The sequence below is a fragment of the Homo sapiens genome, chromosome 13 (genome assembly GCF_000001405.40).
Source record: "Homo sapiens chromosome 13, GRCh38.p14 Primary Assembly".
Taxonomy (NCBI): Eukaryota; Metazoa; Chordata; class Mammalia; order Primates; family Hominidae; genus Homo; species Homo sapiens.
The window spans coordinates 109,767,772-109,791,780 of NC_000013.11; the positions used below are offsets into that span (position 1 = coordinate 109,767,772).

Consider the following 24,009-nt stretch of genomic DNA (forward strand, 5'->3'; position numbering starts at 1 on the left):
GCCCAGGCTGGAGCGCAGTGGTGCAATCTCGGCTCGCTGCAACCTCCGCTTCACGGGTTCCAGCGATTCTCCTGCCTCAGCCTCCTAAGCAGCTGGGACTACAGGCATGCGCCACCACACCTAGCTAATTTTTCTATTTTTAGTAGAGATAGGGTTTCATCATATTGGCCAGGATGGTCTCAAACTCCTGATCTTGTAATCCACCAGCCTTGGTCTCCCAAAGTGCTGGGATCACAGGCGTGAGCCACCGTGCCTGGCCCAGTGTGACCATTTAAACATTTCTAGTTACATGATTTTGTAATATTCAATATATATGAAATTTCTAGAAAATAATTGTTATTTCCCTCATTTTGCTTAGAGAATGATGGACCATTTTACAAATTCTACTTGGAATAACTAGCAACACAGTTCAAGCAGATAATTCAAGAATTAGGTCCTCTTTCACCATTAGTTTTCTACATATTTCAGGAAAACTAAGTCAAATGGAGCCTAAATTCTGAAGATAGACCTAAATGCTCAACCACATTTTTAAAATTATGCAGGCTACAAATAACTGCACACAGTTGGCTGGAGCCCATTTATTAAACATGCACTTTCCTCACCAGCAGGCTAAGAGGACATCAGGGCACCCGTACACACCTAGCCCTCACCTTCCCCAAGCTCTTACGCCCTCAGCAAAACCCATGCCCTTGGCTCTTTCCTGTGAAGCCAGGATCTCTATGAAACAAATGGAATAATACATTGGAATAATACTTTTTCTGCACATTTTTTCTAACTTCTATAATTTTCATTTCCAAATTAGCTGAAGAGTGAAATTGATTTGTTTGATAAGCCGATGGTTAGCAGGTCCTAGTTAACCATAATGCACGGGGCATCCCGCCTCAAGGCAGAGTTCGAAATAAGCGGATTCAGCTTTTAGTCTGTCAGAGGGAAAGACCTTGTCTTTTTTTTTTTAAATGACGGCTGTGTGTTACCAGAAGATACAGAATCAGGCAGGAGCCAGGCTTGCCAGGACCACATCCTCTCTCTACAGACTGGGAAAGTTTCTCCAACAGCAGGAGCCAGGCTCAACGGCGGGGCAGGCATATACATGGCCTACCATCTTCAGGCCTCAGATTTTCCATTAAAAAACAGGGATAACAACAAGATCCAACCCTACGCATAGGTTATTGGGATTCAATACCATTTTTAAATGTCTTATGAATTATAAGGTACGCTACAAACGTTAAGTTTTCAGAATAAGGCATGTCATTCCATGATTACAAACTTGTGCTTTTGTTTTGCAGTTTATCCTGTAAGCACGTCCCAGTAGTTTCCCCAACCTCAATGGTACCTCAGCGTCTTCATTCCACTAGATCACTTCTAGGTCTTTTCAAATTTTATATACTTTTGAGGAAGAAATTCGAGTTGACGTATACTCTACCAAGTAACCACCACCACCCAGGGATACCACCACCATGATGATGGAATTGATGGCTACAGTATGAAAGTTTTTAAAAGCTCTGCATATTATTGTTCCCAAGGACTCTATCTCCCTCACACACTGTGACATGTGGGCTAACATCAGTAGCACGGCTGGCCGGGCTCAATTCCTCCTGGTCCCTTACTACCTCTTTCTCTTCACTTTCTCCTTTGAGCCTTAGCTCTCCATGCCAGCCACACTGGCCTCCTTCCTGTTCTGGAACATACCGGGCAACCTGCTGCCCCAGAGCCTTTGCACTGCTGTTCATCCCCTTTGCCTACTTGGATTCCTCCCTTAACATCTGTAAGACCGGCTTCCCCTGACCTTCAGGTTGCTTGGCTCAAATTTCCTTTCCCCCCTCTCCCTTCCCTGCTTCATTGCTAGAGCATTTCACCACCTGTAGTGCTTCATCTCCTAAATGCACATCCAAATTAAGTTTACTTCCTAGGTTTCAAAGGCAGACAGCTCACTGAAGACTCGCCCACTTTCTGTTATTCTTTTTAGCTTGAAAAACCAAATCTGTTTCTCTCTAGCCTATTCTTTCATATTGCTCAAATGGATGAAGTATTTTTGAGATAGTCTATATGCAACAATTGTCATCTTTGTAATGAAAACATGCAGAAATTTAACAGTTTGAATACATTTAAAAATTAAAGGGAGATCTCACCATTTTTGCCATCGTCCTTTCTGCCCCCAACTTTCTACCTTTCTCAAGCAACCCATAAGTAAAGTTCCTATTTTTCTTTTTTTCTGAAAACTGCAAAAGGTGGCAAAAGGTGAGAATGGGAGGAGACTCATCTGTGACTAACTCCCCCATCAGCCTCACGGGTGGGTGACTTGGAGCTCCCCAACCCAATGGGACTTCCTTCTTTCGCCTACACTGGCCACCACCATGGAGGGCAGGGAGGCCAAGAGCGGCAAGCAGCCCTTTGAGCCGGTGGGGGCTGTGGCTGGCAGGAAAGGAGGGGGCTTTCCTGAACAGGCTAGGGATGCCTATAGAAAGAATGTGATCAATACCCTTAACGCAGCCTTTGGGGCTGCCTACAAAAAGGAGCCAAGAAACCTGACAATGGGGAAGTTTCTGGAATACTACCATTTACAACAAAGACTGAGCACAGAATGAAGTACCAGGAGAGCTTGGAGGCAAGGCCGCCAAGAGCTCAGGGCAAGCTGACATCTAGGAATCGGGATAGCAGCAGAATCAAAGCTACTATTTTTCAGAGAAGAAAACTTACAAACACTACCTCATCTGATGCACCCCAGGTTCACGCAGGGGTGAAGGGGTGAAACATCTGAGTGGTCCCAGCTGTGAATGGGACCAGTACTGTGAATGTTCCAGCAAGGATATCCACTGTCGCAGCAGAGACATCCCGTGAAACATCCCATTCTCTGTGCTCAGCCAAGATTGCCTGCGGGGTGGACACTTATGAAAAGGATCAGAGGGGCTGCCCAGAAAATGGTGCCCGGTGGGATGCTGCCAAGTTGACTCTGAAGGCACCTAGGGAACAGAGGCCAGGCTTCACATTTCTTCTGCATCTCCCAGGACATCTACTCTTGTGCTGACACACGCTGAACTCTCAATACATTGATTGGCTTAAAATATCAACTGTGTTCTGCGTTTTGGAAATGGCTGAAGACCCAGTGATTCTAAACAGCCCAGCGAACCTGGACAGATCAAGACTCACACAGATGAATGTGTATCACCCAGACTTGTTCTAAGAACTTCATTAAATGCTCCCTGCTGGGAAAACTTGGACATTTCATTGCAGTGATTATTTCATCTCGAACTAGGAACACTGATAAGCTAAGCTGCAAATAACAGTAAGACGGCAAACTGAACCAAGGTGTGTCCTTTCTACTGGACCACTGAAACTTTCATCTGTCCCCAAACACCAAAATGCCCTTACATGTAGAAGCTACAAAACCTTTAGGAGAAATTCTCATTTAAAAAACTTGTCAGAACAAATAATCTCAACAATGTCTTTGCATCAATGAATGCAAATTCATGGATGTTTATATCTAAAAGGGTTTTGTGTAGCCTTTGTATCTAGTATTTTCATGCAGTTCAATATTAATATTTAATTTTTTTCTCTTTTGCTTTCTCAGCCAGCTAAATTAAAGTTAGTTTTCTGAAACTGCAATTAAAATAAATTTACAATCCTGGATTTATAATACTTTAAAAGAGAAAAAGAGATTTGGTACTTTTGCAACTAACACATTTTGCTAAAGCATACTCAAATATACTTTCAGTTGAACTATACATTTAGTAGATGTCTACTTGACAACATAAGTTATTTGTACAAGTCTCAGCACACTCACCTGATATATAGAACTGGAAGAGGGTATGGGTAGCTTATGGATTTGTTTTCTGTTTCATTTGCGTATGTAAAACGTTATTTTAGGTTGCTTTTATGCAGGAAGACAATAAAAAGTGAATACCTACTATCATACCAGAATAAAACTGAAGCAAAGCACTTTAGTAATTTATTTTTTTAAAATGCACCAAAGGTGTGGGGTAAGAAACTGACCACAAGACTCTACTTTTCCAGGAATTTCTGCTGTCTGGGAAGTTCAGAAGCCCTGCAATGTCCACAGTAAACTAGGGTCCCAGTACCTCCATTTCTGACCTCTTCAAACAGAAACAGTCTCTGCTCAATACACTCTAATCCACGACTTGCTTAATCCTGCTTATTGCGTGGAGTTTCTAAAGGATTATGTGCATGGTTTTTAAATTTAGTAAAGAAATTCTGGCCTATTTCCAAAACTTTTCTCCCTGCTTCACAATTCCCCTTATTTATCCATCCATCTGGGTATGGGAAGTCCCGAACAAAGAAAGGAGGGCAGAGAGGCTCACCCGGCATGCGCTGGGCCCAGGCAGCGCAGGGCAGTCATGGGTGAGGGTGGCCACTGAGATGACGGGATCGGGGGCGGCTTCTGCCGCAGACCCGGGAATTCACGTGGTCAGATGGTCCCTGACTTCAGTCCCTATTTTCGGTGGTTCATAGCACGGAGCGGTGCAGGTAGGTGCACGCTCTTCCCAGGTCCTCTGCAGAAGGCAAAAGTTCCCAGAGGCACCCAAACCTTGCTGGGGAAAAGGCTTCTGGCCGATTCATGAAGACCCCCAGACCACACGTCTGCATCAGTTTTCCTGACTAAATTGGTGGGTGCTCAACAAACCCATCACTGCAACACAGGGCGCTCCGAACGTGGCTTTCTTCTTAACCTGGAAGAAGGTCCGTAACTCCATTCGCCCGGATAGCAAAACTGCTTTCCTGCTTTGCTCATCCAGCCAGGTCTCCAATCTCACCTGCTGTTTGGTGGGTCACGGCGCTCACCGTTGGGGGTGCTGGCCAGGAAGGAGGTACTGTCTCTTGATGCTGAGAGGCCTGACAGCTTGCACAAAGCAAACACTGCACTGCCCACAAGAGTTCCAGGCCACAGATTTGCCTATTACATTTTTTTTTTTTTTTTTTGAGACGGAGTCTCGCTCTGTCGGCCAGGCCGGACTGCGGACTGCAGTGGCGCGATCTCGGCTCACTGCAAGCTCCGCTTCCCGGGTTCACGCCATTCTCCTGCCTCAGCCTCCCGAGTAGCTGGGACTACAGGCGCCCGCCACCGCACCCGGCTAATTTTTTGTATTTTTAGTAGAGACGGGGTTTCACCTTGTTAGCCAGGATGGTCTCGATCTCCTGACCTCATGATCCACCCGCCTCGGCCTCCCAAAGTGCTGGGATTACAGGCGTGAGCCACCGCGCCCGGCCGCCTATTACATTTTTTAAAGTGTGAATATCTTAAGAATTTTTATGTGTTTGCTAAAGTGTTTCTTTCTGCTTTTGAAAGTGAGGTTATACCCACGTCATTAGAATAATGGCAGCTTCTGTGAAATTAAATTTGTATGAAAACTATTTATCTTCATATAAAAATCCAGCTAAATGATTTTTTTCCTGAGAATTAAAAAAAAAGAAAAAAACAAGGGCTGTTAAAAATAAAAAGGCACTGACAAAATACTCAATTCCCCAGAAGATAACCACCTAGCAACAACTGATTAGTTAGTTATTGGTCCTTAGGCAAATTCTAAATTGATTAGTTTTCAAATAAACTCATTAAATAGGTTAATGACTCATTTCTTAGAAAAATGTTAATGGACTTATCCATAATGGGGAATATATGATATTTCACTTATAGAACAAGCACCTGTCTTAGAGACACAGAGAGCAGTGACCGAATGCACCCGCTGACTCATCACTGTGTCACCGCCCAGGCTGAACCTGTTACACAGAGCCGCCTTCAATTCTGCTAGATAATCTAGGCCTTTCGATTTCACTGGGGGTCTTCATGAAACAATAACTTTGTTTCCTTTTCTTTGATAAAGTAAATACATGACCTTAAATATTTGCCAAATCTTCTCCCCACTCAGTAGACACCGTCCACATAGTCATGAACAGCCATATTTCTCTGATTTATAACGCGTTTCTTCATTAAGGAATTCTGCATTCTCTATTTCTGGCTTTCAGGGTTTCTTTTAGTCTATGGATGAAGAAAGTTACTAAAATGTTCCAAAGTAAAAAGACTAATATCATTTCCACAAATACTAAGTTGTTCTAAAGAGCATAGGCTGTATCCTGGGAGAAAGTTATTCATCAAGATACAAAGAACCAACTGAGATGTGTCATTGTTTGTATCACATTCTCCTACTCTTTCTTGATGATATCTACAAACAACTCTACCACTAATTGAATCAGTGACCTTGACTAAGACTCCGGACCTCACACAGCCTCTGTTTTCACAACCTTAAATAACTAAGTTACATTCTATCAACGGTTCTCAACTCTTCCTTCTCAGAACACCCTTGTATATTTTTTTCGTATTGTCACCACCTGAGTTGCAAGAGTTTTAATGTATTTGATGGTGGCGGTGGTGGGGAGGTATCTTACCAAGTATCATATACAGTTTGCTTTACCAAGAGGTAATGAAAGACAGCCAGAGCAATCTAAGTTTTCCACTTTGTTGACACATCTAGAGGTCCAGGAAGCATGACTGGAGTCCCCAGAACAGATCCATCACCAACTTGATGGTCAACTTTAAAATTCACTAGTAACATCACAGCCTTGAAAATAGTATCAAATACTAAACTCTCCAAACCGGAGGATGTAAAAACTGATTTCAATAAATAGAGCGCTTTCCTACCAGTCTTCCTCCTCAATGGTCCCCATTTTCCTTTGAATTGATACCCAGTGGAAGAAAAAGGGGGAGATGATTAACTATCACTCCAGCAAAATATTAACTTAAATGTTGCTTGAGGCAAGGGTCTAGGATAAAATCCTAATGTAATTATTGCATATGAGCTTCCCAAGCAGACAATATGACATTAGAGAACTGGGCTAGGGATACCAAGATGTTATGAGGTTGAACCCGACACTCCTTCTCCTTTTGGCTCAGAGATCTGGAGCAAGTCATCTGGCCTCTCCACACTGTAGGTTCTTGATTCCAAAGAATGGGGTTCATGGTGGTTCTGCCTATGCCATAGGATTTTTTGGAATATTATACCATATTGTATATAGGAAAATGTCTTACCACTATAAAGGGAAGAAAAACACCCTTTGAATTTTACACAACTCTTTTAACCCCAAGAGAAGAGTGGCAGGCAGTTATCCGTCAATATTGATCAGAATAATGGTACATCGTCATTGCATTCAACTTCAATAAGATTCTTTCAAAATCTTCAGTTGCCAGTTGTCTACCAAGTTGTGGGATTATCTGTTACACTTATACTTTGGAGGCCAAAGATTGACTTATTTAAGTCCATAGAATGCATACAGAAAGCACTGTATCATATTCTTAAATATTAAAGATTAAGCATTAATACTATGCAAAATCTTTCTTTTTTTTTTTTTTTTTTTTGAGACTGAATTTCACTCTTTGTTGCTCAGGCTGGAGTACAGTGTCGCGATCTCAGCTCACTGCAACCTCTGCCTCCCTGGTTCAAGTGATTCTCCTGCCTCAGCCTCCTGAGTAGCTGGGACTACAGGTGCATGCTACCATGGCTGGCTAATTTTTGTATTTTTAGTAGAGATGGGGTTTCTCCATGTTGGCCAGGCTGGTCTTGAACTCCTGACCTCAGATGATCCACCCACCTCGGCCTCCCAAAGCGCTGGGATTACAGGCATGAGCCACCAAGCTCATCCAAGAATGAATCATTCTTAACATAAACATAAGGATTTTAAGGTAACAAAATCACACAGTATAATAGGATTGTAAAGTAACAAAATCACATAGTATAATGAACTATATCATAATATCTGTTTTTATGCATTGAAAACAATTGAAATTTCATACCACACCGTAATAACTGACTCAAGTATTTGTACTAACTGTATAGGGATAAAGTAGCAGTAGACTATGCTTAAGTTATAAAGTTTCAACATGAACAAAGAACACATCATTAATCCTTGAATTTCAGTTATGGAGAAAAATATCATATCCAGCCTCCTGGAGCATGACTGGATGAGATATTATGGAAACACACACACACACACACACACACACACACACACACACACACACACCAGCCCCAAATATTTGTTGCTGGAAAACCTGATACTCTTTAAAATGAATATTAAAAGATCCAGCATTAGGCCGGGCGCAGTGGCTTATGCCTGCAATCCCAGCACTTTGAGAGGCTGAGGCGGGAAGATCACGGGGTCAGGAGATCGAGACCAGCCTGGCTAACACGGTGAAATCCCATCTCTACTAAAAATACAAAAAATTAGCAGGGCATGGTGGCATGCACCTCTAGTCCCAGCTACTCAGGAGGCGGAGGCAGGAGAATCGCTTGAACCCGGGAGGTGGACGTTGCAGTGAGCCGAGATCACACCACTGCACTCCAGACTGAGTGATAGAGTGAGACTCCGTCTCAAAAAAAAAAAAAGAAAAAAACCCAGCATTTACAGGGTGCAATGCGTGTGATCAGTTATCTTTAAAAAATATATCGTGGGTCAAAATATTTGATCAAATATTCCAAATTTCAGTAAAAACACAGTAAGCAAGGAATATTTTATAAACCTTGTGTATATAGATATCATATATGACATAAGAAAACTGGACAGAGTTTCCAAGGCTTCACCTTTACCCATTCAAGTTTTACAGTGTCTTTGGACACATAAAAGTGACTCTATACAAACTTAGTATTTTCCTAGTCTAATAGAAAATTAATCAGAACCACCAAATTGACTATTTTATCATTTGTAAACATGTAACCCATAAGTTTTAATCCAATCTATTTCAGAATTCTTATGTAATGAATTCACTTAAGTAATAAAGCTATAACACACAGAAGCATCTTGCATTATTTGCACCTACAGAGCAAAATGTTGGTATACAACATATACTCCAACTCTTTCTACACTAACCTTCACCTATGCATTGTATTTTAGCACCCAGTTAATGTAAGTCTCTGTAGCTATCTTGAAAGAAATTGAAATCAGTAGCAATCATCAACCCCATCATCTCCTCCATGCCAAATGATGACTTTACTAGTTTTCTTCAGAAAAGTCTAGCACTGAACTCTGTGTACAATAATCTACCTGAAATGAGTCAGAATAACCACTGCAGTCTTGAAGAACCCACTCAAACTAAATATAGAAAGAGTGTCCCTATCTAAACTTGGACAGCATTCTTTTCACAAAAATCATGATCTGACAGTTAATGTGTTTATAACCAATACTTTTGGACATTCAGAAAATTTTGTTTTCATTTGTTCATTAAAACGCCAACATTAAAACGTTTTGTTCATCTTGTATAGAAATATACATTCTGCTGTCATCCGTACTAGAGAAATGAAACAGAGAATCCACCTGCATTACAGCTGTCCAAATGCAGGATGGGGGGCGGGGGGCACAGCACTTTGCCTCACCCAGTGTTTTCCTCATTCTACTTGGCAATGCAGATGAAAGAATAAAGTTACATTTTCCCTTAAGTTTATAAGGTGAAATGGGAACACTTGATTCTGTGCTACTCCCCCTAGAAAAAAACCAAAACAAACAAACAAAAACCCTTTCTACTTGCCAAATCTGATACCAAAATTAGCTCTTAGAACTACGTTTCTAAAGAAAATGCATTAGTGGGAATTTTAACAGAAAACCCATTATACTCATGCTGTTACTAAAACTTTTCCAAGTTCTTCTCTTCAGAAAAAAGAGCCTCATTTTAAATACTCATACTTCTAAAGAAAATAAAATATCAATTCTCTACTAAGATTCCTTTTTGGGTGGTAGAAAAACAAAAGAATCACGCATTTTCCTACTATGTTTGATAAGCACAGTGCTACCATCAAAACTGCAGGAATGACCACCCTCATTAAATCGACCCCAAAGAATGAACCCCCAGACTAAACAATGAGTAGTCAAACAACCTCAGGGTTCTGTTTTTCTTTCAATGCATTCGGCATTAAGAGGCGATTTTTAAAATGTATATTCTAATTATACATTTTCATCTTGTCAACATCTCTTAATATAAAAACCAGTAATAAAAGGTAATCAGAAGTTCAGTCTTAACATAGTTTCAGGATTACCATACTGTTTTCCCTAATTGTTACTTTACTATGTAATTTAGAACACCACTTTGTTACAATCTGTTCATAAATATCTATGAACAGATCTTAAGTTACATAAAGGGGGAAAACAATGGCTCTTGGGAGCCTGGAGCGGAACTAGCAATAAGCAGTAAAGGTAAGCAATTTTTAAGGTGCTGGCTCCATTTTCAGACTATGCTGTTACTGTTTGTTTCAATTTAAGAGCACCCATTTACAAAAGTGTCTTTCCTGTATACATTCATGGTTTCAAAGCAATAAGTATCAACAACTGGATTTATTAGCATCTTCCTTTAGAAGAGCTTAAAACACTCTTGATGTTTATGACCTCATTTACCTTCCAGCGGCCTTGTGACACAGAAAGGGGAGGATTATAATTACCCCCATTTTACAGACAGGGAAAGTGAGAAGGCAGGATTAAGTGGCTCTCCCATAGACACACAATGACTCATTAAGATCAGCAACTAGAAACCTGGTTTCCTGATTCCTGGTTTAGTGTTCCACATACTATGCTTCCTTCTATGAAGTACTATTTTTGTAAAGGTTTCTCTTTCAATAAAGGAAACAGAACAAGTCATGTGACTTTCATTCACGAAAGCCGGTGTGTGTTTTCATTAGCACCTTAGTTGTCTGCTCCTGCGAATAGGGCAGCAGCAGTGCACGCTATTGTCTTATTATGGCCAGAGCCAGCCAACTAAAGCAAACTAGCACCCGCCACAGCAAACAGAAAACTTGTGTGGTTTGTCAATCACCTCACTGGATTTCTGAATTTAGGAAAATTCTCTGCTTTACGACTTCAAAAGGCAAAACTTTTCAACATAAATCGTGATTTTATTGTCCCTTTGGAAACATATCTCTTATCATTCTTTCCCCTTAAGAAATGATAATCCTTTTATTCAACAAAATTTAAATATGGATACTTTCAGTAGTAATTCTGATCTAATCTGTCTTATACATACATACATATATATACGCCAATTTTAGAATAAAATCCCTAAAATCACTAAAAAGGAATACTAAAACAGCAAATTTTATGGCATTCATCAATCTACCATCCTAACACAAAAACATATAAAGTTAATTTTAAAAATCAGTTTTAAAGCACAGGAAATTCAGTAGCGTCTTTCCAATTCCCAAACAACAACGAAACCTAACAAATTGGTTAGAGTTTTCCACATGCACACACACCAAAAACACATGATAAGTAACCTTAACCTGCCCTCAAATAAGATGCATAATTTTGAGTTTGCTCTGGACTAATAAAAACAGATGTACCTGAGATATACTTTTTAACTGGCTCTTGCACTGAAAGCCCACCCCCATTCACGATTCTATTGTAAACAAGTGCCAGACATGGCTGGAACCTTACCTCTCTGCTATCACTTATGCAAATACCAAACATTACCCACATAACCCCAAAATTATTCTGCATCAGCATCACTAACGAGGTCTTCCCATGCAGAACAGGAAGAGCTCAGGGTGGAAACACAGGCCACTTCTAAGAGCCAGGCAGGGCAGGGGGCCGCCCAGGAAGTGCTTTCTCTATTTCATCTTCAAAGAAATGCTTTGCAAGTCGGCCTTCTACAAATCATTTCCTCAAAGGACACTGATCTACTGTGAACTCTGTATTTATGAGCATCCCAAACAAATTTCTAGTGCATGTATGAGTTAAATAAAAGTGGGTATTTATCCCAAGTTCCTAAATGCTTCCTTTCTGTCTCAACGGACCACAACTTTGGTGCTACGTGGACTAAGGTGACACTAGCCTTTCCTATTCTGCTGTTCTCTGTGTTCAACTTACTTTACTAGAAACCCAATGGGGCAGATATTTCTTTTTTTTTAAATGTCGTTGGGCATGGTGGACTGACTGCAGTTGTCTATTTTGATTTAAAAGATCCTTTTACTTCTTAGAAGAGGGTTCATCATGATACCCACACAAACTTCGGACAAACAGCAGCCCCAGTGATCTCTCATCTTTGTTCAGCAGCTACAGAACACAGGCTTCTGTCTGGACTTCAGAATCAAGAATCCTATGGGCTGAAAGGAATTTTACGCAGGTGGGAAATCTTAAACAAAAGCTCAATCCAGTCTCTAAATAAACTTATCTCTTAGAGTTCAACATTTTCACTAGCCTGAAAAGGGCATTATTTCCTATTTGGACCCCAATTCTGAATGTATCGGCTTCATCAGAAACGCCTTGCGTCCCTCCAGGCCTGGAGGCACAAATTCCAGCTTATGGCGCCTGCTATGGCAGAGCCCACTGCTGGGGCCCCAGCTCCACCCAGTCCAGGTTTGTCCCACCAGCTCCACTGAAAGCAGGAAAAGGTGTTATGTTCTTGGCTGTTTTCTGATTAGAATCAGATTCGGGTAAGATGTAATTTACTTTCATGTTCACTCTGGCATATACCCATTTGTGCAGACCATAAATATGTGTGTTTTTCCCCACTCAATTATACTGCTGCTGCTGCTGCTGTGTTTATAATGGTCTGTGTCTTATAAGGCAGCTAATCCTTCAACTTTCTGACACACTAGCAATAGTGTATAAGTAACTCCAACCAAAGTGACCTTCAGCTGAGAATCACTGTTCACAGGATACATTCTGGCGACTTCCAATGATTTAATTGGATGCTGAAGCACCACACTCCTGATAATTCTCTGTGACTCTTCATCTTCTAGTATACGGTTTTAATAAAGGAAATAGCTTTTCTCTATTACACTAGAATAACAGGGAGTTCACCCCACAGCTATAATTTTAAATCCCATGGACCGACAGTCCTAAGTATACTATAAAACAGATGCTGGATTTAGATAGCACTAAACTGGTCTATTTAAGAACAAAAGGCTGTGAATCTCCAGCCCACCTTGATCCTCATCTCATGACCCTTGAAGACTGTTTACACCTTAGGCTCACATCTAATCCAGCATCCAAATTTTACTATATGTTTCACTGTTCCCACAAAGCCTCTATCCTGCTAGGAACCCTACAAAGAAAACAGCTACAAAATTAAATAAAGTCTCCCGAATTGAGCATTCACCTTTCCCTCTCATCTCCCCGACCCCAAACACCATTCAAAGTTTAGACAGCCAGAATGCACCACCAGCTGCATTCTGCATCAGCTCTCTCTCCTCATGGATATTTGATCAGAACGGGAAGAACAATACCAGGCACCCTCCTATCCAATTGTTCTTGAGAAGACCTGTGTTTTTTGTCTTTCCCTTGTTTTCTCCAAAGCACTGATTGTAAATCCTGGCTGCACATTCAAATCACCTGGACAACTCTGAAAAATGTCCGTCCCTGCCTCCTAGCCATCTCATGTTTCACTTCAACGGGTCTGGGGTGAGGCCCAACAGGTAATTTTTCAATCCTCCCCAGGTGAGTCTCACCTGGGGCAGGGTCCTCACAGGGTGGTCCCCCGGCCAGCAGCATCGGCATTATGCGGAGACTCACTAGAAATGCACAGCCTGGGCCGCGCCCCAAAGCTACAGCATCGGAAACTGCGGGGTTAACACAGGCCAGAGATCCATGTTTCAGCAAAGCCTCCAGGTAACTCCCACATATGCTCAAGTTGAACACCACTGCATTAGGCTGTGTGCAGCCTTACCGTTTCACCCCTTCCGAGAAAAACAATGCCTCTGATGGAAAAGCTCCCACAGTTTGTGTGTAAAACGGAAATGGTTAACTGTCGCTATTAGCAGCCATCAAAATGGATGCTCATTTCTTAAATGACTTTCAGGTCTGAACCTTCAAGCTCACCAAGAATCAGGCGGAGCCCAGCTCCAGGAACACAGGGAAAGGTGAAAGCTGCGGCTGAGGGCAGCGGTCCGGACCCGAGGTCCTTCCAGAAGGACGGACCCACGCAGCCGGATGAAGACAGTCGGGTGCCCCGCGGCCTCTAGTGTGGCCGGTCTGGGAGAACTTCCACTGTGTTAAGGGACAGGGGGCTGTGGGACGCACAGAATGGGTGAATGGGTGGGGCCTCAAAAAATCAGTCTCCCTCCCACGCGGAAAACGTCACATTCAACTCCAAGACGAATGTTCCTGGCAAGTTCTCTGAAGGAAGAGAACAGGGCAGCCCGCAGAAAAACAAAACAAGGAGCCAGTGCCAGGCTGTCGGCTTCTGGGTCAAGGTCCCCAAAAAGTGGGAGCAGTGAAACCCAAGAGGCTCCCTCAGCGCCCCGCCCCTCCTTCCCGCCAGACGCCAAGGCAAAGGGCCTCCTCACCTTTCACGATGGTGGCCTCCTTCAAGTGGTGGGACAAGAAGTCAATGCTGGCGTAGGTGTTGGCAGGGGGCAGGGCACCGGGACCCGGCCCCCCGCACCCGCCGCCGGTGCTGCCGACGCCCACAGCGCTGATGAGACCCCCGAGGCTTCGGGTCCGGCCCCAGGAGCTCTTGTCTCCCGGCTGAGGAAGCGGCGGCGGCGGCGGCTGCGGCTGGGGTGGCAGCCCGGGCTCCTCCCTCACGTCGATGGCGATGTAGTTGAGACCATTCTGGAAGCCGGCAGAGGTCTCTCTGCGCATGGGCGATCCACCGCTCCCAGGACAACCGACCAAGCCCCCGGGCTGACCCGGGGTCCACGGCCGGCCCTGCGGTGCCAAAGGGGGCGCCGGCTGCAACTGTCGTGGGGAGGTGGGCGGCTCGTCGCCCCCTCCAGGGCCGACACCCACGCCGCCCTCGCTGCTTTTCCTGAGAGAGACATTTTCCACGGAGGCCGAGTTGTGGCGCTTGGGGTTGTGGGCGAAGGACGGGGACACGGGGGTGACCGTCGTGGTGGAGGAGAAGGTCTCGGAACTGTGGCGGCGGCGGCCCCCCTGCGGGTCTGCGCGGATGACCTTGGCGCCGCGGTGGGGGTCCGGGGGCTGGCTGGCCTGCAGGAAGGCCTCGACTCCCGACACCTGCTCCATGAGGCTCAGCCTCTTCACGCCCGACGTCGGGCTGGCCACGCGGGCAGCTTCTGGCTTCGGGGGGGCCGCGATAGGTTGCGGCGGGGTGGCGGCCACACCAAAAGCCATCTCGGTGTAGTCACCATTGTCCCCGGTGTCCGAGGACAACGATGAGGCGGCGCCCGGGCCCTGGGCGGTGGCAACGGCCGAGGCGGGGGGCAGGCGGTACAGCTCCCCCGGGGCCGGCGGCGGTGGCGGCGGCTGCAGAGACGACGACGGGGACGCGGACGGACGCGGGGGCAACGGCGGATACGGGGAGGAGGCCTCGGGGGACAGGAGGCCGTCCAAGGAGCCCACGGGGTGGCCGCTCGGGGCGCCCGGCTTAGGAGACTTGGGGGAGCTGAAGTCGAGGTTCATGTAGTCGGAGAGCGGAGACCGCTGCCGGCTGTCGCTGCTGGTGCCCGGGGTGCCTGAGCCCAGCGACGAGGCCGGGCTGCTGGCGGACAAGAGCGAGGAGGACGAGGCCGCCGACGCCAGCAGGGGAGGCGCGGGCGGCGACAGGCGGGCCCCGGGCTCGCCAAAGTCGATGTTGATGTACTCGCCGGGGCTCTTGGGCTCCGGTGGCAGTGGGTACTCGTGCATGCTGGGCAGGCTGGGCAGCCCCTCCAGGGACAGGCGCGTGGGCCTCACCGCCCGGCCGCGCTGGCCCAAGAAGCCCTCCGGGCGGCCGCCGCTAGGCCGCACGGGCGAAGGCACTACAGGGTGAGGGGGCTGCGTGGGGCCGGCCCCGAAGGCGCTGGCCGCCTGGCTGGGCCCTGGCGTGGCCTGAGGCTCCAGACGCTCCTCCTCCAGGATGCGCCCCACGGGGGAGCTCATGAGCACGTACTGGTCGCTGTCCCCGCCACAGGTGTAGGGGGCCTTGTAGGAGCGGGGCAAGGAGCTGTAGCAGCAGCCGGGAACGCCCCTGAGCGGCTCCCCGCCGGGGTGCAGGGCTGCGGAGAAGAAGTCGGGCGGGGTGCCCGTGGTGACCGCGTCGCTGGGGGACACGTTGAGGTAGTCCCCGTTGGGCAGCAGCTTGCCATCTGCATGCTCCATGGACAGCTTGGAACCGCACCACATGCGCATGTACCCACTGTCCTCGGGGGAGCTCTCGGCGGGCGAGCTGGCCTTGTAGCCGCCCCCGCTCGCCGGGAATGTCCTGCCCGCCGCAGAGGTGGGTGCTGGCCCCGCAGGCCCCGCAGAAGGCACGGCGGCGGCGGCGGCGGCGGCGGCCCTGGGCTGCAAGATCTGCTTGGGGGCGGACACGCTGGCGGGGCTCATGGGCATGTAGTCGTCGCTCCTGCAGCTGCCGCTCCCACTGCCCGCGAGGGCCGCGCCGGGCGTCATGGGCATGTAGCCGTCGTCTGCCCCCAGGTTGCTGCTGGAGCTCCTGTGGGAGCCGATCTCGATGTCTCCGTAGTCCTCTGGGTAGGGGTGGTAGGCCACCTTGGGAGAGGACGCGGGGCAGGACGGGCAGAGGCGGCCCGCGCTGCCCGAGAAGGTGGCCCGCATCAGGGTGTATTCATCCAGCGAGGCAGAGGAGGGCTGGGGCACCGGCCGCTGCCGGGCTGGCGTGGTCAGGGAGTAGGTCCTCTTGCGCAGCCCTCGGTCCAGGTCCTGGGCCGCGTCCCCCGAGACCCGGCGGTAGGAGCGGCCACAGTGGCTCAGGGGCCTGTCCATGGTCATGTACCCGTAGAACTCACCGCCGCCGCCGCCGTCTCGGGCCGGGGGCGTCTCCGCGATGGACTCGGGCGTGTTGCTTCGGTGGCTGCAGAAGGCGCGCAGGTCGCCTGGGCTGGAGCCGTACTCGTCCAGGGACATGAAGCCGGGGTCGCTGGGGGAGCCCGAGGCGGAGGCGCTGCCGCTGGAGGGCCGCTGGCCGGGGCCGTGGTGCAGCGGATGCGGCAGAGGCGGGTGCGGGCCGGGCGGCGGCGGGTAGGAGCCCGAGCCGTGGCCGCTGCTGGACGACAGGGAGCCGGGGCTGGTGGCGGCGGGCGGCGAGTGCGCCACGGGCATGGACATGGAGCGGCTGTGTTGCAGCGCGCCCCCTGCCGGCAGCAGCGCCACCTTGCTCCCGCGGCCGCCGCAGCCGCCGCTCAGGGTGTGCGAGCGGCTCAGGGGCGCGCGCACCGGCCCGGGGCTCAGGGGGCTCCCAGCCACCGACACCGGCCTGGCGCCCGCGGCCGCCGCTCCCGCCGCCGCGCCGCCGTCGCCCTCGCTGGCGGTGCGCACCCGGCACGAGCTGCACTTGGCCGCCGGCGGGGTGGCGGCCAGGCTGTCGGTGCGCGAGCGGCGCACCAGGCCCGTCTGGCTGGGGGGCAGGTTGACCAGGTGGTGGTGGCGGCGCGCGCCGGGGACGCTGATGGGGTGCGTGGCCGACGACCCCGACGATTGGCTCTTACTGCGCGGCCGGAACTCGAAGAGCTCCTTGAGCGCCTTCATGGCCTCCAGGATGGTCTCGTGGATGTTCTGCGCCACCACCGAGTCGTCCGCCTGCATCCACAGCTCGCCGGGGCCTGTGACGGCCGAGCGGCCCACCTCGATGAAGAAGAAGCTGTCCGAGTGGCCGCAGCGGCGGATGTTCATGAGCTGCAGCGTCACCGACGGCTGCTCGCAGTTGAGCTTCACGAAGCCGATGGTGCGCGCAGACAGGCACAGACGGTACACCCCCGTCAGGTTCTTGCTCTGGCCCAGACCCTTGGGCTTCAGGTTCACCTGCCACACCTCACGGTAGGCGGCCGTGGCGGGAGCCACCAGCCCGTAGCTGTCCTCGGCCCCGGCGGCGCCGGCAGAGCCGCCCAGGGCGCCGGGCAGGGAGGCGCTGCAGGACGCGGCGGGCGCGGCGGCGGGGGGCGCGTCTCCGGCGGCCGCGCGGCCCTCGCTGACCAGGTCGGTGAGCGCGCGGTACCAGCCCTCCTGCTCCTGCTCGTTCTCGGCGGCCACGGCGAAGTACTCGTCCTTGGTGTAGAGGGCGATCAGGTACTTGTGCTTGGCGTCGGCGCGCTTGTTGATGTTCAGGCAGCAGTCGAGAGCGATCACCCGTTTCGGCGCGCCTGCCTTGCTCCGCCACTTTTTCTCGCTCTCGTAGTACTCGAGCCGCGGCGGTTGCGGCGCCGACCCCCCGCCCGCCGTCGCCTCGTCGCCGCCCGCGCCGGGTCCGCGCAGCACGAAGAAGCGCTTGTGGCCATGCTTCTGCTTGCGCAGGTAGCCGCACTTGCGCACGCTGTGGTTGTTGTTGTTGTTGTTGTTGTTGAGGTTGGGGCCGTCTCCGCTCGCCGGCCCGGGCGGCCCGTGCCGCGGCGGGCTCGCCATCGCGGGCGCTTCAGGCCGCGCGGCCCGGGCCCGGCGCCCAGGGGTTGGGGCGAGGGGCGGAGGGGGCGCGGGCGGGGGCGGCTCCCTCCCACCCTTGCGCCCGGCCGCCCGCCCGATCACGCGTCCCTCGGGCCCAGGCGGTGGGGAAGGTCCGGGGAGGCCCGCGGGGGCCAGCACCGCTCGGCGGCGCCGCGCCCTCCGCGCTCTGGGGCTCCTGAGGATGCCCGGCGCGGGCGGTGGCCGCCCCCCTCCCCGGCTGCCTGCGGCCGCTGCCTCCTCGGGCTCTCGGGCGGCGCCGGGGGACGCGCTCGCTGGGCCGGGAGTCGGGGTCCCCGAGCCGCGGGGCCGAGCCTAAGGCGCGCGCGGCCGCACCGGGGCTGCTGCCGCCGCGTCGCGCTCCGGGAAGCCGGGGTGCGCCCGGGCGCTCGGGGTCCGCGCCGCCGCCGGGGCTGCTGCTGCTGCTGGTGTTGCTGCTGCTGCTGCCAACGGCGACCCGGGCTCGTCGCGGTCCCCGCCGCACAGTGAGTAACACATCGCGCACCGAGTGACTGAACTAAGAAGAGCAAAACAACATGTGACTCGGCGTTACGCAGGCACACACAGCGCGGCCGCCCCGCCCCGCTGCCTCGCATTGGCGCCGCGCCCCCCGACGGACGGCGCGCTCGGCCAATCGGCGCGGCGCTCGCGGGGGCGGGCCGCGCGCCCCCGCCCCGCCCCCCTTTCTCCCCGGGCCGCGTTTCCCGCCGTCCCCTCCCCCTCCCGCGAAGGCCCCGGCCCGGCCGGGCGGGGTGGGGCGGCCCCGGCCTCATTAATCAGCGGCTTGTTGTGGATGCCGGCGGAGGAGATGCCACCCAGGGCGGGAAAAGGGGCGCGGAAGAGGGGCGGGGCGGGCCACGGCGCGCAGGGCCCTTCCCTCCCGCCTCGGACTCAATTAATTGGGCTTGAGCTTCCGCCGGGGAGGGGGCGCCGGGCGGGGCCGCGGCTGGGCGGGGCGGGGGATCGGGATCGGCGGCGGGGGCTGCGGCCTTGCAGTGGAAGCATGGGCGGCGAGCCGGGCCGTGCTCTCGGGGCGCGGGGTCCCCATTTTGGGCGAGGGCGGCCGCTCCCGCGCTCGGGGTGGGCGCGCCCCATCCCCGTCCCCCGTTTCCCGTCCCCGTCTCCCGGCCGCATCTCCGTCCCCCCGCAGCCGCGAAACGCGGGGAGGTTCCAGGGCCCGCGGCCGCGGGTTCGCGAGCACCGCGCTCCAGATCGAGAGCGGCGCGCGCCCTTCCGTGGAGGACAGAGGGGCGCGGAGGGGGCGCCTGTGTCCCACCCGCTCGCGGGCGCTTTACGGGGCGTCCTCTGCGCCATTCACTTGTCAGCTTGTCGGGAAGTTGAAATCGCGTTTGGGAGGTAATAGGAGAAAGAGATCGGGGACGGCAGGCGGAGAAAGTGCGGTTTCCATAGCGCCGGGGAGAGGGCGGACCCGCGAGCCAGCGGTCCCTGAGCCGGGAGACCGCGCGGGCGTCTCTCCAGCCCCCGCAGGAGCGCCGCCTTCCTTCCGCAGGGGCGTCCTCTCCCCCCACCGCTGCAGGAGCACCCCCTTCCTTCCTCGGAAGCGTCCTCTCACCACACCGCTTCAAGAGCCCCCCCTTCCTTCCACAGGGGCGTCCTTTCCCCCTCCGAGGCAGGAGCGCCCCTTTTCCCCCCACAGGAGCGCCCTCCCCACCCCAGGAGCGCCCTGCGCCCAGCAGACGGGCAGGTGGGCGGGCGTCCACTACCTGTGTGCGCGGTGCGGGCGGTGACTGCCAAGTTGGAGATGCCCTTGGAGAACTGCTTCGAATTCATGTATCTACTGGGCTTTTGTGACTTTCAAAGCCTATAGCAAATAAGCACCCCTGCAATTACGTCTCCTCAATGACCAAGTCAGGGTGAGGTGAGGGCTTCCTGAGTTCAGATCCCAGCAAGCTCCCGATCCTGCGCAACGAAGAAAACTCAACAAAACAGGCTTTGGCTGTTTATTTTATTTTTTTTTTAATTGTGCCTTCATGAAATAATTTACAGCAATAATTTATCTTATAATATTGGTTATTGTTTTTAAGTCCCGGATGTTTACTTTTGGATGTCCTCTATAATTCATAGAAGTATCTTAAAAGTAATAAAATCTTAATCTAAGAGAAAATAAGTGTAATTTTTGAAAGAGTGATATATATTTTAATATGTTTTTGTAACATGTGACTTGAAGATTGTGTTGGCTAATTTTATGTGCCAAGAGAGCCCTGACTAGTACAAAGATTATAGCGTTTTTATTTTTAGCATGTATACAGTTAGGATTATTGATCAGTAGCCTGAATTTGGGAAGAATAATCATTGTGGCAAATATCACCCAGTGTGCCTCAAAAAGGTGTGTTTAAAGTTGATCTTCCATTTTTAAATCATACCTTAAAAAAAAATACCTCAAGAAATGCCATTTTAAGTCTGTGCACCTATGTGTGCATGTGTGCGTGTTTGTTTATATAATAGATTGTGTGATTGTGTGTGTATAGGTATGTGTGTATGATTGTGTGTGTTGGGGGCGCCACCTTTATGAACATTATGCTTCGGCGTTCTTTTTAGATCTTGTTACCTTTTCTTACGTTCACAAATGTTGCCTAGCAATATGTCTAGTCAGGAAAGATGAAGGGATTCTTATCTTGGTGCTTGAAGAAAATGTGGTGTAGTTTTATTGGCTTTGTGATCACTTACATCCCACTTTTATGAGGATGTAAATGGGCCACCTCTATGTTCCTGTATGTTGCCAGCCATCAGTAGACAATGCTAAAGGAACCACCACTTTTAAACATCATGTGATGGTTTCTTCTGAGAAAGTATATTTTGCAATCTTTTTCTTTTTCATGTTGACTTTTATTATGCAGTTGCATTTTCATATCCGTATTGAACATTTACTTGCTGTGCCTGTCACACGCTAGCAGGTGTCATCTTTTCCTGTTTGCTTGTTTCTTGGGGCCATCCTAGTGTTAAAGGCCAGTGTTTTTAAGGTGTCAGCAGCTCTGGATTGGCAGTTAGCACTTTCCCCATGTACTGCCTCAGTTACCAGACTGGGGACAAAAGAGAGAAGGTTAAAGAATTATCACCTATGTCCGTGGTATTCTGTCATAGAGAGTATAAATTTCCTACAGCAAACTGGAAATTAATTGCAATTCTGCAGTTAGAACCTCCAAATACAAATGTGGATGATACAATTTCAATTCTCATTGAGAGTCAGCCCATGAAACAAACCAACAGTAAGAAACTCTGTAATTAGAAGTATCCCAGTCCTCTTCCTCAACCGAGGAACTTGTTTTCTTTCCCCCTTTCTATTGCCAGATAAGCTATTTATTTATTTAAAGCTTGTTCTACACCTTGTGATTTTCCAACTGTTCTTCCATACTTTTTCAACAAAAGTCAGCTAATAACATCTGCCAACATGCTCTGCACGCAGGACTGGCTGGGGCTGGCATGGCCTCTTGCCAGCAAACAGCCTGGTTGAAATTTTTTCTCATGGTCCAAGATCTTTCCTTGGAAGCTTTCTTTCCTTTCACAGCTAATAAAATGGCCATATCTTTCAGCAGGGAGTTTTTTCTGTTTGTTTGTTTTTTCTATTTTTAACAGAATCATATACAATAATGATTATTTTATTAGAAGTCTTCTGAAATAATTACTTTTCAAGAAAGAATCAATTATATAAAAGTGTAGAGATTTAAAAATATGTTACAGGTTCACAATACAAATACTAGTAGCACTACCAATAATGAACATCACTAATTATTTTCTTTGTTTCATATAGGAAAGGCAAGTATGGGAGGAGAAAGGTGAATAGCATTTTATTGCTTGTGAAATTTTCTTTCTTTTTTTAGTTCTTTGCCCTGTAGGTGTTTGACAGTATTTTGTATTTAGGTGAGCTCAATCTAAAAACTAAGCAGATTAAGTGGAATGCTATATAACTAGTTAGAATAGCTTTAATTTAAAAGGTATTTTAAGAGGGAAAGATTTTTAACTTCACAGGTTTCTGTCAAAGGATATATTTAATCTTTAAAATGAGTGGCACCATTTCATTATATTTCATTTTATTAGATAATGTTGTTCAGTAGCTCATTTGAGAAATTCCATTCCTCTGATGAACGAACTGTGGACAGACTTTTCCTCATCTAGGGTTTATAAGGAAACTTCTTGCACTTTACCAGCAAATTTATTTGCTAATGTTTCAACTGAAATTTCACAAGAGTTTTGTAACATGCTAACTCTGTGTATGGGCAACAGAATGACTTACATGAGAGAATATAACTGCTGTTTGGATCATTTGCTATGTATGGCATTGCAAACATTTAAAGTATCAGGATTTGTTAATGGAATTGATCAGCCCCTTGGAAATTATAAAGGCTTTCTACTTGTGTGTTTATTATTCTTGTTAAAAATATGGATCAGTCTCTTTCCTAAATGTTCATTTTATGAGGGAGGATTTTCTAAAATAAATGATTATTTAATGTGCATATATGATAGAACAAACTACTATAACTTTTTTAAAGTCTTATCAATTGAATTAATACTGTTTAGAAAAATATGTTGTAGTTACAAATGCAGCTAATCCAGTATTCTCAACATTTTTTCATTATAAATATAATTATGTTGAAGAAATACATAAATGCCCAATTAAAAAGTGACTGCGGTTAGGAGTTGAAAATATTTATTAATATGCCTCTGGATTTTGTTCTGTTTGAATTTTGAGAATGTGTTTCTAGATTTAAGAAGCAACACAAGCTTTTTTTCCCAGAAGGCTTCCTATTATTGAAATGGAAATTATACATTAATGACTGTATAACACTAGTAGATATTTTTAAAATGCAAGAGCATCTTCTTAGATCATTACTTTTCCTTGGAATGCTTGGCCCCTGTAATATAATACACCGGTATTTTGCATGATGAAATTGATGTCCTGTGTGTTGCTTCATGTTGCTATCCTAGCTGCCGATTAAAACGTTTTTTTTTTTTCATGCCAGAGCAGAACAAAATTGTCTGCTTCTCAATCTGCACATCATAAGCAGATGACATTAAAAATGTCTGTAAGATGACACAGCTATATTTTCTGGGAGAGGGCGGGAGGATGCTCAGCGAGGGTGGCCCGGAGTGTCCTTGTACAGAGTACAGATGTTATGAAGTGGGGAAGACCAGCCTGTGTTCATTGATTCACCTATTGATTCCAGGAGCAAGCTCACCCTGTTTCATACACTGCTCAGGAGGTAAACAGGAGGAAGGGAGCCAGCCTGGCTTTTTTGCCACATGCTCTGCTGTTTGGTAGAACTGTATTATAGTCAGAAACCTTCCGCTTTTCTGCAGTTGTTTGCATGCTGTTTCCAAGGCTAGCCCTCTGAGTCTGTTTTCTAGAGTTGTTTTGAAATTCAACCTAAAGATAACAGAGGAAATGTGACCCTCTCTTGTGAATGCTGCCACCAACTGGCAATGTTTCTTCCCAAGGCAGATTCAGGGTTCTGGCATGAGTTGTCACAAATACAGTGGTGGTTGCTTTGAGAGAAAGGTGCTTACAACCTGACATAAATTTGCTTTGCATGAAACTTTAAGGAAATTAATAGAAGTAAGATTAAACAAAGAAATTTTGATAGTGAGTGACTAAGAGCAATATCAGATGACAAATGAGGGAAGAGAACATTAATAAGTGCAATACTTTATTTTTTATGGTTGAATTAAGTATCA

The 24,009-nt window shown here is 48.6% G+C and overlaps 2 protein-coding genes across 2 annotated transcripts in view, besides 4 other annotated features; one reads left to right on the plus strand and one right to left on the minus strand.

Moving 5' to 3' along the window:
* The window catches only part of IRS2 (insulin receptor substrate 2), a 33,889-nt gene extending 15,077 nt beyond the window's left edge, over positions 1-18,812 (minus strand). Inside the window, exon 1 of the mRNA NM_003749.3 lies at positions 14,271-18,812. Within this exon, the coding sequence (NP_003740.2) occupies positions 14,271-18,282 (4,012 nt within the window). The 5' untranslated portion in view covers positions 18,283-18,812. The remainder of the gene's footprint in view (positions 1-14,270) is intronic.
* Positions 14,167-14,733: an enhancer, noted in NCBI's record as "H3K27ac-H3K4me1 hESC enhancer chr13:110434285-110434851 (GRCh37/hg19 assembly coordinates)". NCBI's record gives its function as "activates a minimal SCP1, AML or CMV promoter by ChIP-STARR-seq in primed H9 embryonic stem cells {active_cell/tissue: H9 hESC(primed)}" and the evidence as "EXISTENCE:reporter gene assay evidence [ECO:0000049][PMID:30033119]".
* Positions 17,319-17,948: an enhancer, noted in NCBI's record as "H3K27ac-H3K4me1 hESC enhancer chr13:110437437-110438066 (GRCh37/hg19 assembly coordinates)". NCBI's record gives its function as "activates a minimal SCP1, AML or CMV promoter by ChIP-STARR-seq in naive H9 embryonic stem cells {active_cell/tissue: H9 hESC(naive)}" and the evidence as "EXISTENCE:reporter gene assay evidence [ECO:0000049][PMID:30033119]".
* Positions 18,790-19,019: a silencer, noted in NCBI's record as "silent region_5498". NCBI's record gives its function as "represses an Ori minimal core promoter by ATAC-STARR-seq in GM12878 lymphoblastoid cells {active_cell/tissue: GM12878}" and the evidence as "EXISTENCE:reporter gene assay evidence [ECO:0000049][PMID:35858748]".
* Positions 19,040-19,209: a silencer, noted in NCBI's record as "silent region_5499". NCBI's record gives its function as "represses an Ori minimal core promoter by ATAC-STARR-seq in GM12878 lymphoblastoid cells {active_cell/tissue: GM12878}" and the evidence as "EXISTENCE:reporter gene assay evidence [ECO:0000049][PMID:35858748]".
* LOC124903211 (WAS/WASL-interacting protein family member 1-like) lies at positions 19,313-23,225 on the plus strand. The gene is made up of 2 exons (XM_047430835.1): positions 19,313-19,674; positions 19,829-23,225. Exons 1-2 carry the CDS (start codon positions 19,322-19,324, stop codon positions 20,064-20,066), a joined length of 591 nt encoding a protein of 196 aa, XP_047286791.1. The 5' UTR covers positions 19,313-19,321; the 3' UTR covers positions 20,067-23,225.

Excerpts from the sequence above, each read along its gene's own strand:
- LOC124903211 (XM_047430835.1), top strand. The coding sequence starts at position 19,322 with ATGGGCGGCGAGCCGGGCCGTGCTCTCGGGGCGCGGGGTCCCCATTTT. Across the intron at positions 19,675-19,828 it reads GTTGAAATCGCGTTTGGGAG|GGGCGTCCTCTCCCCCCACC; the intron begins GTAATAGGAGAA and ends TTCCTTCCGCAG.